This window comes from Homo sapiens, chromosome 2 (genome assembly GCF_000001405.40).
Source record: "Homo sapiens chromosome 2, GRCh38.p14 Primary Assembly".
Classification (NCBI taxonomy): Eukaryota; Metazoa; Chordata; class Mammalia; order Primates; family Hominidae; genus Homo; species Homo sapiens.
This window is the reverse complement of record NC_000002.12, coordinates 1,157,296-1,174,819: the sequence shown is the minus strand read 5'-3', so window position 1 is coordinate 1,174,819 and position 17,524 is coordinate 1,157,296. Positions and strand designations below refer to the sequence as shown.

The 17,524-nt window shown below is 47.8% G+C and overlaps 1 protein-coding gene across 16 annotated transcripts in view; it reads right to left on the bottom strand.

Annotated features, from left to right (window-relative positions):
- Nucleotides 1-17,524, bottom strand: part of SNTG2 (syntrophin gamma 2) — a 416,765-nt gene that overhangs the window by 192,794 nt on the left and 206,447 nt on the right. For all 16 annotated transcript variants that reach the window (NM_018968.4, XM_047444795.1, XM_017004374.1 and 13 more), the window contains 2 exons: nucleotides 9,185-9,272; nucleotides 1,637-1,728 (listed from right to left, as the gene is read on the bottom strand). In NM_018968.4, the coding sequence (NP_061841.2) occupies nucleotides 1,637-1,728; nucleotides 9,185-9,272 (180 nt within the window). The remainder of the gene's footprint in view (nucleotides 1-1,636; nucleotides 1,729-9,184; nucleotides 9,273-17,524) is intronic.

Genomic DNA, 17,524 nt, shown 5'->3' with positions numbered 1-17,524 from the left:
AACCAAAGGAAAATACAAATAGAAACAGTAAACAAAACTCATTAGTAATGATGGAAATGAAATAGAGCCCCAGAGAGAGAACCATTTTACAGCTACTGTACTTCAAATATTAAGTCAAAAATTACCTAGCACTGGAGAGGCTGTGGCTCAACTGGAATTTCCCAGAGCTGTGTGAATATAAACTGCACAGCCACTTTTGTAGAAAACTTGCTGTTATTTTGAAAATAGAACATCCTGGTATAATCTAGCACTCAGAAATTCTACCTTATGGAATAGCCAAGAGACATTTATAAGTATCTTTATGGCTGCACCTCTTTTAATGATGATAAACTAGAAAAACAAACATAAAACAAAGGCAAAGTGTCCACAGGCAACTGACAATGGATAAACTGTAGTGAAATATCATACAGCAAAAAACCTCACAGAAACAAACAGTAAGTAAACATGCAAATCTCAGAAGACTATGGAAGAATAATATTTTATAAGCCTTGCAATAAAATGAAATTTTACATATATATATATATATATATGGATAAAACTTTTTTTCAATCAAGAAAATGACAAACACAAAATTCAGGATGCCTTATATCTCTGGGCAGGCCAGAAAATGGAGTATGGAAGACTGCACAGATGGAAAGCTAGGGACAATATTCTAATTATTGCTTAGAACTGCAATTTCATGGGCATTTGTTTTATTATTTTGCTTCATAACTGACACAGAGTCTAAATGCAATTTTTAATTTCAGGAGCTCAATTAAATGGTTAGAAATGGAGTAGTCAGACATCTTAAACATAGATTGTACAAACATGAATATTTTTCTCTAGGTTCTCCCTGTGTATGAAGTATCCAGTCATTTTGATGATTTGACTGGAATGATTTATAATAAAACATTTTTTCAAACTGCTTACAGGATTCTACATTTCTCGTGCACTAATGCCTCTGTGGATGATGAATTCCCCAAGGGGCGCAGCTCACAGGTCACCCTGCGGGAGTTGGAGCCCAGGCTTCTGAGAGAGGAGGGCGTGAGCCCTGTGTCCCAGGGAGCTGCAGGTTCTCTCAGAGCCCAGGCTTCTGAGGAAGGAGAGTGTGAGCCCCATGCCCCAGGGAGCTACAGGTTCTCTCAGAGCCCAGGCTTCTGAGGGAGGAGGGCGGGAGCCCCATGTCCCAGGGAGCTGCAGGTTCTCCTTTTTGCTCAAGTCTGGTTTTCTTGGGAGGGTGGATATTTAGAATGTGATTAAAACTCACTGCATTATACAGTGTTCATACCTCCTTAGGTGTTTTCTGTTAAGAAATTCATGGGAGTCTCACAGAAGTTTCCTAAAAATAACCTGCAGTCCTTCCTACAGTCACGGTGATATGTAAGTCAGAGGCAGGACTCAAAGAATTCTTGCCTGCTCACTGAGATGCTGTGAATTATGAACTTAAAATATCCTATAATGCAATCAGGATGTGTCCCACGTGGGAGTAAATGTCAACAGAACAGCACCTTCAATCTGTGTTCTAAGTATTTCCTCTGAAACTAACACAATTATCTTCACTGGGCAGTACAGCATCTTTTTAATTCTGTCTAGAGATTATCTCTGGGCTACTGATATTTCTGTTAAAATAAAATTTAACAAAAATCTATATGCTTACTGTGGTACTGGAGTTTCCGTTCAGATGCAAACCGCTGTCAAAGAGGGGAGAGGAGGCCCCACTGCTGTGGTCGCTGGATGGCCCTGGGGACCCTGCAGCAAAACAAGAGAAGTCCCTTCCAATTGGTGCCACTGACAAAGCACACTGTGACCATGCAGTGACTTCAGTTCTACCTGTGCATGGGAAGTTACCAGCACCAAAATGCCTGGTGTCCAGTTATGGGCTGGGTCATCCCCAATGGCCTCTCACTTTCCTGCTGTGATATGGTCTCCTCACCAAGATCTGACCTCAGGTTGAAGGGAGGGACCACTGCCGGCTCCTGTGAGGGCTCCCCAGGGTGGAGGGACAGCATCAGGAAGGTGTGCCCCCAGCAGCTCAGGCCCTCCCTGTCAACATGACCCCCTGGAATGGTCAGCACAAGGCGCCTTCTGTGATTGCAGTGTTCTCTTTTGAAAGGAGATGATCATACCAGGCCACTCAAAAGGTTTTTTCCAGAGACAATATTGAAAAGCTCACACTCAAAGCACTTAGCACATTACAGGTAAAACAGGTGCTCATAAAATAATTTCCCTGGAAATACAGGCTCATGCAACCAGAGCTTACACCTGCTAAACAGAAACAAGCCAGTTCATAGATCTTCATGCTCCATGGATTACCCAGGGGACATAGAGCACTTTCATGCCGTTTCCAAGGTCCTGGGAACAGCTCAGGGAGAAAGGCTGTATTTGTTCCTTTATTGTCCCTTCCCACCAATATCTTCAGGCTGGACTATAAGAGTGGGCAGCTCCCATGTGGCTTAGTGTTTTAGCCCAGCATTTTTGTGGTATTGCCACGTAAAGACAGATCTGTGAACACAGCAGCCTGACTATGCCAGATTCCCAGCCAGGTGGAACAGAGACCTCCCAACACTGAGAAAGGAGCCTTTGATGCATCCCTGAGTGGAGAGCAGGCCCTGTTGTTAGATCACCTGAGTGCCTGGAAAGAGGAAAGAAGCACTGAGAACAGCACTAGCAGGAGGACCTGTCACCAGCCAGCCATCAATCATCACAACCACATGGTGCTGTTGCAGAATGGAGGCTTGAACTTGCACACTGGCTTCTTGCAGGAAAGACCCCTGTGAAGCTGAAGAAAGCCTGGTGGACACAACTCCATGCATTTGTATTTGGGATGCCCTGTTGTGCCGTCTATTTCCTGGGATTAAAGTGAAGAACAATCGGCACCACATATGCAAAGTCATAATGTGACCACCAGCCTCGCTTGGTGCAGACAGGAATGCGATATGGCTTGGAGGCTCAAGACCCTCTAACCTCCAATCTGCCTCTGCAAATGTGATGTGCAACGTTCAGCGAGTTACCATGGCTCGCTGTTACCCTTTGTCCAGCTGTATAATATCTACAAAGACTCATATTTTTAGAAAACACTTCATACCATATTCCTTTGTGAAAATTAAGATATTGAGAAACTTGGAGAACTCTGGGGGAAATAAGAATTGCTTAACTTTTAAAGGGTAGTTGTCAATTTTACTAGATGAAGAACTTTTCTTTTTCATTGACCACTGTTTACTGTCTGGTGAAGACTCTGCTGTGGACCAGCCACTGCTCCACACAGCACCCAGAGCGTTTCACAGGGTTGTTGAGACAGCACCTGAATCTGCCCTTTAGCGTTCAGAAGCACATTTCACTGTTATCTATTTGAAATTCTTTCCCAATGCCTGTTATTTTATACCCGTAATCACCTTATCAGTAATTGGAGAGGAAAATCAAAATATTTTTAATGACTGCAGTCTTCCAAAATCCCAAAGTTCATGCTATAGACAAAGGAGACACATGACTAATGGCAGCAGATCCAAGCCACCATTGACTGAATGAGCTAACAGGTAAATAGTCAATAAATTTACATTTGACAGTCACGCTTCCACTCTAAATTTCTATAAATTTATTTCTGATGAATAGGTATCTTGTCATCCATATCCCAGAACAGAAATGTGAATAGTTATATCTTTCTTCTATCACAAATAAAAGTCCATTATTTTTTAAAACCCAATATCAAGAATTCTTAATGAGAAAAATAGACTTAGTTTATTTTTATTAGGTGTCAAAAATAAACAATCATATTAGAAAACATGTAGTATATGATCAATGTTTATTAAAACACCTAATCTTAAAAAAAATTAACCCTAACCTATCAAAACTGCTTAGATTACCCTCAGGCAATGCTGGTTGGAATGTAAAATGGTGCGGCTGCTGTGGAAAATAATTTGGCAGCCACTCAAAAAGTTGAGCCTAGAGTCACCAGAGGACCCAGCAATTCCAGTAGTCGGCATCCACTCGGTGGGAAGGAAAACATCTCCCAAGAAAAACGCATTCACGGATGCTCATGGTGGTATAATTCACAATATCCCCCAAACAGAAGCAAGACAAATGCCCATCAGCTGATGAATGGATAAACAAAACCCATACAAAGGGTATGTACATGGGTCCGTATACACAGATATATTCCCTAGGACGGATGCTGTTCAGCTAAGAGAATGCAGCACCGATGCCCGCGACATTGGGGGCGGACTCTGAAACTACACTGGGGGAAGATGCCAGACACAAAGGCATCTTTGTGCGGGATTCCATTACAGAAAACGTCCGGCGCAGACGGAGATCCTCATTCCAGGTCGGATGCCACGGGGTTTGAGCCACCAGCAGATGTTGACTTCAGGGGAGCCTGGGCCTGGCCTTCAAGGCCCTTCCTGATTACCCACAAAGAGACAGGAAGGAAATTCCCGGCTGCCGAGGGCTGGGGTGGGGAGAGTCCGGGCTGACTAACTGGCACAGGGTTTATTTTTGGGATGAGGGAAATGTTTTGGAATTAGACAGTAGCAATGCCTCTACAACGTAGTGAAATATTTAAAACTGCTGAAGTGTTACTTTAAAACGGTGAATTTTCTGTTGCATGAATTGTATCTTTATAAAAAGACCAAGAGCCTGACTTGTGAAAAATAAAACCCTACTTTGACTCAGTCTCAAACGGTTGTTTATTTTCTCTTTGATAAACGTTTTAAAATGTGGAAACTGGACATTTTCCGCACAGATCTGCCGTGATACTCTCTTTCCCCACTCACTGGAGCTGCTCGGTGGATTTCTGCTTCATGCAGTCAGAAAGTGAAGTCTGCTCAGGCACAGCAATTTTACCTTCACGGTGTGAATTCAGCAGAGGACGTTTCGCCTGAATTTATAGAGAGATTATGGCTGTCTTGCTTAAATTGTTATGGATACTAAGATTTTAACATTTTTCACTGTAAAGAATGAAATAAAAGGAGAATAGACACTTATTGAATTAATGGGGACTCAGCACCCCTGGCCTCTGTGATCTGCACCCCAGGCTGCCCTTTCCTGCATGTGCCCGAGGACGTGTGGGGTGGTCCGTGTAGCTGGGCCTGTCCAGGCAGAGCCATCAGAGTCAGCACAGCCCCGCTCAGGATGCCGGCAGCAACGCTCATTGAAGTCACTATGTGACTGGCAATGGACCCCGGAGCCTGCAGGTTTTAGTGGAGCCCACGGACAGAAGTCAGGATGTGAATCTCAACAGAGACAGCCTCCGGCCCCACAGGCTCAGGCACTAGAATTGCAAGAGCTGCCCATCCTCAGAGGGAAACACAGGCTCAGTGCTATGGGGCTCTAGGCAGGGGCTCACGGTGAAAACCTCCACCTGGGGCACTTCCTCTGCCATCTGGTGTTGCAGTGTTGCTGCTGCTGTTGCTTAAATTCTGCTCCTTCAAAGGCACCCAGGGAAGCTGGCTTAGACGCAGCACCCATCTCACTCGGCCTGTGAAGTCACCTTGCCTGAGAGAGAAGTCAGGAACGGCCCCAGGGTGAGTGTCCTCTGCCTCCCACCCCCACTTAGCAACATCCGAAAGCACCCCCTGCTTTCTGTCTGTCTCCTCCTTTATCAATGCCACCTCCTCCTGTCCAAGCCACTATCTTCTCTTCTTTTCTTTCTGGCAAAAATCTATGAAAAGTCTTAGTTTCTTCCTTCGTGAGCCTGTATGGTCACAGCTGCTGCAGAATCTGCAGACACTCACGCTGCCCCCTCACAAGTGAGTCCTCCTCCCCCATCCGAGCTCACTGCTGGGCCTCCTGATGTGCGTCTGACACCTGAGTCTCCCTGCTGGCTCCAAGAACTTCTGTGCAGCCCTCAAGTCCACCCCCTTCCCAACTCACAGCAACGTTTCTCAAAACCCCAGGGGTGCACCACTGTGCCGCGTGTGACATTTCGCTCCCTTAAACCTTTGCCCCATTGCTAACATGTTCTGCCTCTACGGCCCTGGGAATATTCGCCTTTCTCATGCACAGCCCCTCAGCACCCCTTACTCTTTTTCCTCAAGAACCCTCTAGGTCTTCATTCATGCTCCCGTGGCTCCTTCTAGCAGAGGGAGTGGTCTCTGAGGATGGCAAGGCATGCAGTGAATCTTACTGATCCAGGTTTGCTACAATGGCAGGAAGATCGATTTTCCTAAGATTGTGAATAGCATAGTTATCCTGCTGTGATCGATGGGAAAAATGGAGTTGCTGAAATGGATTTGTTCCTGGTTGCTCAGGAAGATGAAAGCAGAAGTCATGCTATGAGTCTAATGATGCTTTTGATCAAATGCTGAAACAGGAAAAGTTCACTTGTTCCCCTTGCAGGGCTTGTGATGGGGGAGTGGCTCGCTTCTTCGGTGCCCCACTACTCAAACCTCTGGCGGGGGTGCCATAGAGATGGGCCGGCTTTGGGGCTCTGACCCCTGGCAGCATCTAGGGGTGGATGTTTCCAGCTCCTGAAGCCCTAGTGGGAGTGTGTTCCAGGGCGCTCTGTTAGTTCTGCCGTCTGTGGGCGGCCTGTAGGCTTCAGTTCTGCCGTCTGTGGGCGGCTTCTAGGCTTCAGTTCTGCCGTCTGTGGGCGGCCTGTAGGCTTCAGTTCTGCCGTCTGTGGGCGGCCTGTAGGCTTCAGTTCTGCCGTCTGTGGGCAGCTTCTAGGCTTCAGTTCTGCCATCTGTGGGCGGCTTGTAGGTTTCAGTTCTGCCGTCTGTGGGCGGCCTGTAGGCTTCAGTACTGCCGTCTGTGGGCGGCCTGTAGGTTTCAGTTCTGCCGTCTGTGGGCGGCCTGTAGGTTTCAGTTCTGCCGTCTGTGGGCGGCTTCTAGGCTTCAGTTCTGCCGTCTGTGGGCGGCCTGTAGGCTTCAGTTCTGCCGTCTGTGGGCGGCTTGTAGGCTTCAGTTCTGCCGTCTGTGGGCGGCTTCTAGGCTTCAGTTCTGCCGTCTGTGGGCGGCCTGTAGGTTTCAGTTCTGCCGTCTGTGGGCGGCCTGTAGGCTTCAGTTCTGTCGTCTGTGGGCGGCCTGTAGGCTTCAGTTCTGCCGTCTGTGGGCGGCCTGTAGGCTTCAGTTCTGCCGTCTGTGGGCGGCTTCTAGGCTTCAGTTCTGCCGTCTGTGGGCGGCTTCTAGGCTTCAGTTCTGCCGTCTGTGGGCGGCTTCTAGGCTTCAGTTCTGCCGTCTGTGGGCGGCTTCTAGGCTTCAGTTCTGCCGTCTGTGGGCGGCTTGTAGGCTTCAGTTCTGCCGTCTGTGGGCGGCTTCTAGGCTTCAGTTCTGCCGTCTGTGGGCGGCCTGTAGGTTTCAGTTCTGCCGTCTGTGGGCGGCCTGTAGGTTTCAGTTCTGCCGTCTGTGGGCGGCTTCTAGGCTTCAGTTCTGCCGTCTGTGGGCGGCTTGTAGGCTTCAGTTCTGACGTCTGTGGGCGGCTTCTAGGCTTCAGTTCTGCCGTCTGTGGGCGGCCTGTAGGTTTCAGTTCTGCCATCCGTGGGCGGCCTGTAGGCTTCAGTTCTGCCGTCTGTGGGCGGCCTATAGGCTTCAGTTCTGCCGTCTGTGGGTGGCTTCTAGGCTTCAGTTCTGCCGTCTGTGGGCGGCTTGTTGGTTTCAGTTCTGTCGTCTGTGGGTGGCTTGTAGGCTTCAGTTCCGCCATCTGTGGGCGGCCTGTAGGTTTCAGTTCTGCCATCCGTGGGTGGCTTGTAGGCTTCAGTTCTGCTGTCTGTGGGTGGCCTATGTTAATCAGCTCAATTAGACCCTCTGCCTTATCGCAAGGACAGAAGGCTTTCTGTATCCCGGGGTTCTTGCCTTAGCATACCAGAAGAATCAGATCCCACGTGAGCTTGGAGGGTTGGCACAAGGTTTTATGGAGTGTTGGTAGCTCTCAGAAGATGGATGGAGAGCCAGAAGGGGCATGGAGTGGCAAGGTGGTTTTCTCCTGGAGTCTCGTCCAACCACCCCAGCCAAACTCCACATCATTCTGCCAGTCGATAGCCTGCCAGTGTCTGCTGGTGCCTGTCAGCATACTCTTCCGCTCCTCTGCTCTTCTCCACATCCGGCCACTTGTGTCTCTGCCCACTAGGGTCTTGGGGTTGTTATAGGCATAGGATGGGGGCGTGGTAGGCCAGGGTGGTACTGGAAAACGCAACATTTGGGTGCAAGAACAGGAGTGCCTGTCCTCACTTAGGTCCATGGGCACAGGCCTGGGGGTGCAGCCCTCGCCAGGGACCCGCCCTTCTCCTCCCAGCACTTCCCTGCCCCCCTCCTGTATCAGTGAAAAACCCAATGCATGATCAGAACTCAACTACTGATGTGCCTGAGAGCTACAGCCGGGCCACTCGGGGCAGGAGAGAAGGAAGGCATTGACAATAGGGACATCAATGGAAGAGAGAGAGAAAGTAAAACAGTCAATATGAACCCCCAGGGAGGGAAGCTGTTCCTTCCCATGAGAGAGTGACAGGAAGGACAGCCCACCAGCCCCCATGAGAAGGAACCCGACTGTCGGCTCAGCGGGAGGTCCTCATTCCACATCGGATGCCCTGGGGTTTGAGCCACCAGCAGATGTTGACTTCAGGGGAGCCTGGGCCTTGCCTTCGAGGCCTTTCCCGATTACCCACAAAGAGAGGGCAGTGATGCCCTCTGCTAAATCAAAGGAACGGTGGTGACTCCAACCTTTATAAAGCCATGACAGCTGAATAACATTAGTAAAAGTTACAACAACTATCTTCACTAAAACATTTTTCTAGATTTAGGGTTCATCACTTTCATATTGGGTCACAATTCAAGTATAATAGAGGATTACAAGCTTTGTGCCAAAATATGTCAGGGACTTCATAGCATAAATGTACCATTATTTTCATTTTTTGCACTGAAAATTTCTCAGATCAACATAGGTATTTTACGTGTAAACTTTGCTTCTACGTTAACATATAGATAAATACAATCATGGTGAGTTTGCATGAAGGAACGAGCATGTAGTTAAGTGACGAGAAGCACAGTCGAGAAGCACGGTCTGATAACACTTCCTTCAAAAAAGCCCGTGGATGTGTTAAAACATACAACGTCATGGGACTACATGATGCCACGGTGCCTGCCTATACTTTTCTTCTCTCTGAATGTACACTCAGCAAATGATTAATATCCCAGTCCATGTGGTAGCATTTGGATAAATAATGTGGCAAGAAAGGAATTTCTCCAGCACCCTGGCATTTCTCCTCTTCCCACTTACCTAACGGGAGCTTCAGAAATGCCGGCGCTTCCCTGAGATACTCAACGGTGATGGTAACTTCATCGCCAGCATTTCTCAGCAGATGCACCTGTCAATATGACAAAAATAGCTACTTTTACCACCACAAAAGAACCAGACACAGAATTAAAAAATAAAATCTCTCTACCTCTCCTGTTTCCCAAGAATTCAAAGTTCATAGTTACCTCTGAAACACGGAAAACTTTGTGGGCTTCAGCTGGAGTAAAGAAGAGTGGTTATCACCTCCGAGACCACCTACCCCCCACACTCTATCTGCGTAAACAAGTGCATGAGTGAGCAGGGGTCTGCCCGTATCATCCACAACACATCACAGGGATGCTCTCTGCATCCCTATGAATGCAATCTACCAGAAAATAATACCCTCGGAGAAATCAGTTTGTTACTACAAACAGCCTGTGTTCAGTCACTGGCAAAACATGGATTAACTGTGGCAAAACAAACCACAAATACTAATTTAAATATTTAAATGATGCTTTAGTTCTCAGGAAATTAGTGGCTATCACTTCAAAAGGATGGAACTTAGCTCTGTGCTGGAGTTTCAAATTATACAAACTGTTTCAGTCACCTCACATACAATCCCCTACGTTTCAACACAGCATCTAAAATCAGCTTTTTGTGCACAATGTATTTGCCATTGTTTAAATCTGATTGAGACACTAAAAGTCTAGATGCTGCAAAGCTGTGTGTGTCAGAATTCACTGCACCTGCATCTGTGTCTTCCCATAATGCATAACCCTCCTCTGCTGTATCCTCCTCCTCCGAGGCCAGGTATAGCCCACCCGCCCTCTCCTCTACACAGAGCCTGCCAACAGTTTGGGCAAGTTCCTACCTCACTTCATCCTCCTAGGCCAGGTATATCCCCATCTCACCCTCCCCTCTACATGGAGACTGTCCAAAATTTGAGCAGGTTCCTGCCTTACTTCATCCTCCTAGGGCAGGTGTATCCCACCTCGCCCTCTCCTCTACACAGAGACTGCCCACAGTTTGGGCAGGTTCCTATCTCACTTCATCCTCCTAGGCCAGGCATATCCCACCTCGCCCTCTCCTCTACACAGAGACTGCCCACAGTTTGGGCAGGTTCCTACCTCACTTCATCCTCCTAGGCCAGGCATATCCCACCCCGCCCTCTCGTCTACACAGAGACTGCCCACAGTTTGGGCAGGTTCCTACCTCACTTCATACTCCTAGGCCAGGCATATCCCACCTCGCCCTCTCCTCTACACAGAGACTGCCCACAGTTTGGGCAGGTTCCTACCTCACTTCATCCTCCTAGGCCAGGCATATCCCACCCCGCCCTCTCGTCTACACAGAGACTGCCCACAGTTTGGGCAGGTTCCTACCTCACTTCATCCTCCTAGGCCAGGCATATCCCACCTCGCACTCTCCTCTACACAGAGACTGCCCACAATTTCGGCAGGTTCCTACCTCACTTCATCCTCCCAGGCCAGGCGTAGCCCACCTTGCTCTCTCCTCTACATAAAGCCTACCCACAGTTTGGGTAGGTTCCTGCCCCACTTCATCGCTCCCTCTGATCTTTCCTCCTCATTTCTTCAGTCACTTTCCATGCCCGTCATTGCCTACCTGGAGGATTACAGTTCTGCACAGCTCCCTAAGACACCTGATGTAGCTTGAATGGGTTTTGAAGACTGGATTTAGAAAGTTTGAAAGTTCCCATGGCCTGAGATCCAACATAAATGCCTTCCTATTTCACCTGAGGACATTTCTATCTGGCATGGCTGGTCCACCTCCACCACTGGTGCTCCCTCCTGGCCCTCTGAGCCACCCCACCCCGGCCATGCCTGTGGACAACCTTAAATATGTCGGTGCTTCACATAGATCTTGACCTCATAGGACAGCCTCATCCCTTTTACCTCATGAAATCCCACTAAAAACTCCAGACTGGAAACACATCTGCAGAAATGCTCCCGTAATGCCACTGAGCATTTTCAACATCCTTTCTTCTCCCTCTCCTCCTCATCCACTTCCATGTGGCTGGTGACCCTGTGCTGATGGCCTCCAGGTCGCAGGTGCTGTTGGGAGGCTTCACACGCCCACTTCCTGTTGGAAGGCCTCACATGCCACTTCCTGTTGGGAGGCCTCACATGCCCACTTCCTGTTGGGAGGCCTCACACACCCACCTCCTGTTGGGAGGCTTCACGTGCCTACTTCCTGTTGGGAGGCTTCACAGGCCCGCTTCCTACTGGGATGCTTCACACACTCACTTCCTGTTGGGAAGACTTCACACACCCACTTCCTGTTGGGAGGCTTCCCATGCCCACTTCCTATTGGGAGGCCTCACACACCCACCTCCTGTTGGGAGGCTTCACGTGCCTACTTCCTGTTGGGAGGCTTCACAGGCCCGCTTCCTGTTGGTATGCTTCACACACTCACTTCCTGTTGGGAGGCTTCCCACGTCCACTTCCTGTTGGGAAGGCTCCACACGCCCACTTCCTGTTGGGATGCTTCCCACACTCACTTCCTGTTGGGATCCCTCAAAAGCCCACTTCCAGTTGGGAGGCTTCACATGCCCACTTCCTGTGATCCTGCAGCACTGCCTTCCTGTCATGCTCCACAGGCTGGGCCCCCATAGGGCTGAGTCAGGCCTCTTCTGCCGGCTGTCTCCAAGGCGTCTTTCCTCCCCTGCTGTTCAGTACAAGTGCACCCTTGTGAGACGCCTGTCTCTGACATCCACATCCTGTCTTCATACAGGCTGCTGCAGTACAAAGTGACTGTGAAATAGAAGCCCTCCTCTGACCAACTCCCAGAAAGTGTCAAAGCTTAACCACTAGCAGATTTGTCTGATTCTATCCTCCCCCCGCACAAGATCCTGGAGAAAACTACCAAAGCTGAATTTTCTTCTCCTCTTTGGTGAAAAGAAGTAGAACCGAGGCTCTCCTTTGATAAACGAGGTTCATGACGGCGACGACACCCTTCCTTTCTACATGGAAGGGCTGGACTCTCACAAGGCCCTGCAAGCCCTCGTCCCTGGAGGTGCAGAGTGTGCGGTGTGGGAGGGGAGATCACACAGACCTCCGCTGTCCACTGTCCAGCCACCTCCCAGCAAGTGACAGCCACTGTAATACCCTAGTTGTCCCGGGAGCTCAGTGCAGTGTAATTTTAAAAGGCAAAACATCACCAGGACAAGAGCAGTTTGAGATTCATGAAGCTCACCGTGCCCCATCCTTAAACAGGCTGCCCTCCTCCCAAAGGACCAGGCCACACACAGCTTCCGTATGTGAGTCTGTCGCCCAGCCAGTGTGCCTGAAGTCCTTGTTGGAAATCATTGAGGTGTGTGTGGACACCTCCCTGCCCACCTCCATACCCGAGGTAAGTGAGTCTATTCAGTGACTTTCCCCAGTTTTTCTGGAGAATGACTGTGGATTGAAGCAGGAAAATCTGCCATCCCTTGCTTACAGGAATCTGCACTTATTACAATGGACAATTTTGTCAGAAGTAACAGAACCAATCAATAGAGAGAGGCAGAGTAGCCTGAAAACAAGCACTTTTTTTTTTTTTTTTTTTTTTGAGACGGAGTCTCACTGTCGCCCAGGCTGGAGTGCAGTGGCGCCATCTGGGCCCACTGCAAGCTCCGCCTCCCGGGTTCACACAATTCTCCTGCCTCAGCCTCCCAAGTAGCTGGGACTACAGGCGCCCGCCATCTCGCCTGGCTAATTTTTTGTATTTTTAGTAGAGACGGGGTTTCACCGTGTTAGCCAGGATGGTCTCGATCTCCTGACCTCGTGATCCGCCCGCCTCGGCCTCCCAAACTGCTGGGATTACAGGCGTGAGCCACCGCACCCGGCCAAACGAGCACTTTTAATTAAAGATTGGATTTAGCTTCAATTTATTATTATTTTTTAATCCCAAATGTTTACCTTGCCTTGATTTTTTGGGGACTTTAAAATACCCGAACAAGACAAAGGCATTCAATTTGTTATCAGTCTTATTTTTTATTTAGTTTGAAGCATATATGTGGTGTATGAACAAAATAATTGAATGTTGACCATTGATGCTACTGAATTCAACCAATGCCTTCAAAGATTTCTCCCTCCTGGAATCATGGCCCTAAGCCTGACGGCACTGGGAGAGACCCTGGCCCACACCTGCCTAGGGGGCAGCCTCCTTCAGCCCACAGCAGCAGTCACTGCTTTTTGCAGCAAATTAACACCAGTAGCCATGGCCTGGAGGCTTTCCCCTTTTCTGTCTCTCTCTCTATCTCTCTCTCTCTCAACACAGCATCTAAAAGCAGCTTTTTTGTGCACAATGTATTTGCCATTGTTTAAATTTGATTGAGACACTAAAAGTCTAGATGCGCTCTCTTTTTTTTTGACTGTCATCCAGGCTGGAAGGCAGTGGTGCAATCATAGCTCACTGCAGACTTGGCCTTCTGGACTCAAGTGATCCTCCCGCCTTGGCCCCGTAGTGCTGGGATTACAAGCGTGAGCCACCATGCCTGGCCTCTCCCCATTTCCACCTGCAGCTCCCATTACAGTGCACACCTGCTCTGCGCCGACAAAGTCAAGGTAGGAGGATGCGTTCCAACCTCCAATTCACCAGCATGTCAAACTCTGACAGGTAAGCCAAGTCCATTTCTTCCTTAGAAAGGAGTCAACTATGAAATGAAATCTCCCAACACCTGTAAAATGACTCTGAAGCCATTGGATTCACTGCGGTGTTTGAGTCAGCTTAGCCATGCCTGGGTGGCTTCTCAGCAGCAGAGGTTCCTTCCTCGGAATTCCAGAGGCTGGGAGTCTGTGATCAGGTGCGAGCAAGGTGCCAGATCCTTCCTGGTGAGGGCCTGGCCTTCTGGCTGTGTCCTTGCGTGGTGGAGAGAGGAAGTGCGCTCCAGAGGGCTTCTTCTTGCAGGCACTGATCCCATCACCAGGATGCCATCTTCATCACCTCCTCTCACCCTAGTCACTTCCAGAGGCCCCGTCTCTGTCTCCTGACGCCCTCATTTAGGGGTTAGGGCTTCGACATGTGAATCTGGGGGGACACAAAGTCCAGTCCGAAATGGGCTGGTGAGTAGCCCAGGACACGAAGTTGGTGACATCAGTGCAGTTTCTCCGTGGAGTCGCAAACTCGACCTGTTGACGGAGGCTTCCAGGGGAGCAGAGAAGAGCACAACACATGATTCTACACACAGCAGCCTCGGGTCAACGCAGCTCCAGTTTTAATTAAAAATATAACACATTTGATAGTTTAGATATGAAATAATACAACATATGCAATCAAAGAGTCTGATTTTTATACCTACGAGATCCCTAGTTTGACACCTCAGAGACAACTGACGCTGGGATATTGTGTGTGTTCTTCTGGAAATTCTATGCCTTTGTAAGAACGTTTTCTCGTCTGAGGGCAGTTTGGTCATATTGATCAGATATACAATGTATGTGCATTTTAATCCAGCAGCCACACGTGTAGATGTGTGAGTATGTGGGAATAAAGAGGTCAGTACAAGAATTTTCATACACCATGTACACCATGTATCCCATTTATTTGCCCCATTTTCACTTGAAACAGGCCCTGAACTCTGTTAGACATGATACTTTCTTTATCTAACACATCTGACAGCTTATCCCATATTATTCATGTATTTCTAGTCTTTCTCACGGACGCAGTGTTCCGTTTTACAAATGTTCTGTAACTACTTCAATGAATCCTCAATCCTCAAATTCCTGTTGAGTAGTTTCTTAGTCCCTCCCCTTTCATCCCTAATCATATTTGCATTTTAATTAATATTTCTTCATCAGTCTTTTCAGAGGCCTCTGCATCTTGCGTTATTACAAGCCCACCTTGGGAGACGGAGTTTTAGTATTATTTTCTCTGACTTGTCCTCTATGTTTTCTCTTCTACAAATTCGCATCTTCATTTTTATTATTTCTTTCTTTTTTTGCTCCTGCGGGCTTCTCTGTTGCTCTTGCTTCAGATTCTTAGGTGACAACATGGCTCTTTTTCCTTTGCTTTCTTGTTTTCTAATAAACATATCTACAAATTACCAGTCTTCCCTTAAGCCCTACTTGTATTCGACGAATTTTGATACAAAGTTCTTCAATATTTTTCACGTTACTATTGTGTATTTTTTCCTTTATATTGTCTTTTTACACCAGTATAGCTATTTTTACAGTTTCCAGAAGTGTGGATATTTTTAAAAGCATTTGTCATTTTGTTTACTAGATATCATCTGTGTTGCGTTTCTTCTTGGGTTCCTTGTGGCCTAAATAATTGTTAATGCCCCACGTGTTCTGGAAAAAAAATGTGAGTTTATGTTGAATAAAGACCCATGAGAACAAACACAGTCACACATATACACCCCCCACATACACACACATGCACACACACCTGCATACACACACACACACTCACACACACCCTCCCACATAAACACTCATGCACTCATACATTCAGACGTAATTCCACATACGCACTCATGCACTCACACACCCCCCCCACATATGCACACCCATGCATACACACACACGAACACACAGGTACACGCATGCACATACACACGGACACACGTGCACACACAGGTACACCCGTGGACACATACATGCACACACATGCACACATATGGACACACACACGGACATCCACAAGCTGACTTCCTCTCCTCTACGATCTGCCATACGCCCCACTTTAGTAACACATTCCAAGACCTTGCATTAGACCTTGCTGTTGTCAACATCTGCAAGGGTTCTGTACTTTAAATCAAGCACCCAACTACCATTCCTGTCTTCCGGTGTGCTCCGTAAAGCCTTCCTGCACACACGACACTGCAGCCCTATGGAGACTTACCACGATTGGCAACGACAGCGCTCTCTCTTGTTCTCACCATGCCGCAGCCTTACATTCCCCTTTATTCAGGCTAAATTCCAAGATCCATCACTGTAACCCTTCCCTGCACACACCTTTAATTCTCTCACACCCCTGGCCGTGCTGTGCCTAACTGCCCCAAATCCCAACCATGGTGAAATGCACCTCCCCAGAAGATACACTTTGGCGTGCTTACACATAGGTCACTTGAAACATGATTTGGAAATGTGCACTGATGTGTTATTCAATTGTCATGAATATTCTTCTTTCTTTCTCACTTCTTCTCTTTTACAGAAGCTAAGCCCAGGAGCCAGGCACCTGATGCCACGCTAAACACACAGGAGTCTCCTCTGCATCTCCTCCCCCACCAGAAATGGGGAGTCCCTGTGGACAGTCACATCCCACTAATTCATCCTCTTTCCTTGAACCACTTCTCATAGTGTACTCAGATGTAGATAAATTTTAAAAAATAATAATTTTCTACTTTTCTATGTAAATTTTTAAATGCTTCCTTCACATGAACTTGAGTGAGTAAAGGGAAGGTTTAATTTATGAATAACTCCCCTAAATTAGTTTTAAAACCAGGATACTTTTATTATATTTTATTAGAAATGATTCAAGTATCCTTACATACTGCCATAGTCAGCAGCACATCATTTAAGACAAAAAACAGTTTATGCAACTGGGCCCTTTGAGCATGATGCTGAATCTACTAATCACCATGAGCCCCCACCTGAGTGTGTGCTGCTAGGCATGTCTACAGGATGCCCCGTACCAAACCTGCCGGCCGGCCAAGGTAACTTTGAAATGCTAACTTTTGTGCCTAGAGCAATGAGACTTTTAAAGAAAACTGCCTAAGGCAAACTCCTTCTCCCTTATTAAGTGATGCATAAAATATCCATCTATAGCTTTAGAATCCTTCCAAAACCTCCCAGAGCATTGCGGTGCTGGGCTCATATCACCCGCGGGGCAGGCTGAGCACATTCCTACAGCACATCTCTAGTCTGTGCACACCAGAAGCTGAGTTATTTCCAGAGTCTGAAAAAATTCTGTGACCTCAACAGAGAAAAACTCCACTGTAGTTCTCTATAGAAAATGACTTAACTCATTTCTGCTTAAATACACTATGTTAATAAAGAAACAGACCTTAGCCTATGAAACTCTTCATTCTTAATGAGCTTGCATTCTAGTTGCCAGTATCCTTTCAACATTGAAACCCAGTCTCTGTTATACATAAGGAACCTACTTATGGATGTGAGGGACGTGCACAGCCCTGGACTTTTTCTAAGTGTGAAGGCCTCTTCGTGGACACCGTCCCTCCTGTCTGGCATCCTTGTGCACGTGTGAGTGTCTGGGGGGCTTTTGCCAAGTACGCACAAGCCACAGTACTGGTTGCACTCCAGCGCACGAGCCGCGGTGCCGGGGTGCATTCAGCGCACAAGCCGCAGTGCCGGGGTGCACTTCAGCTGCACCTCTGGGTTCTGC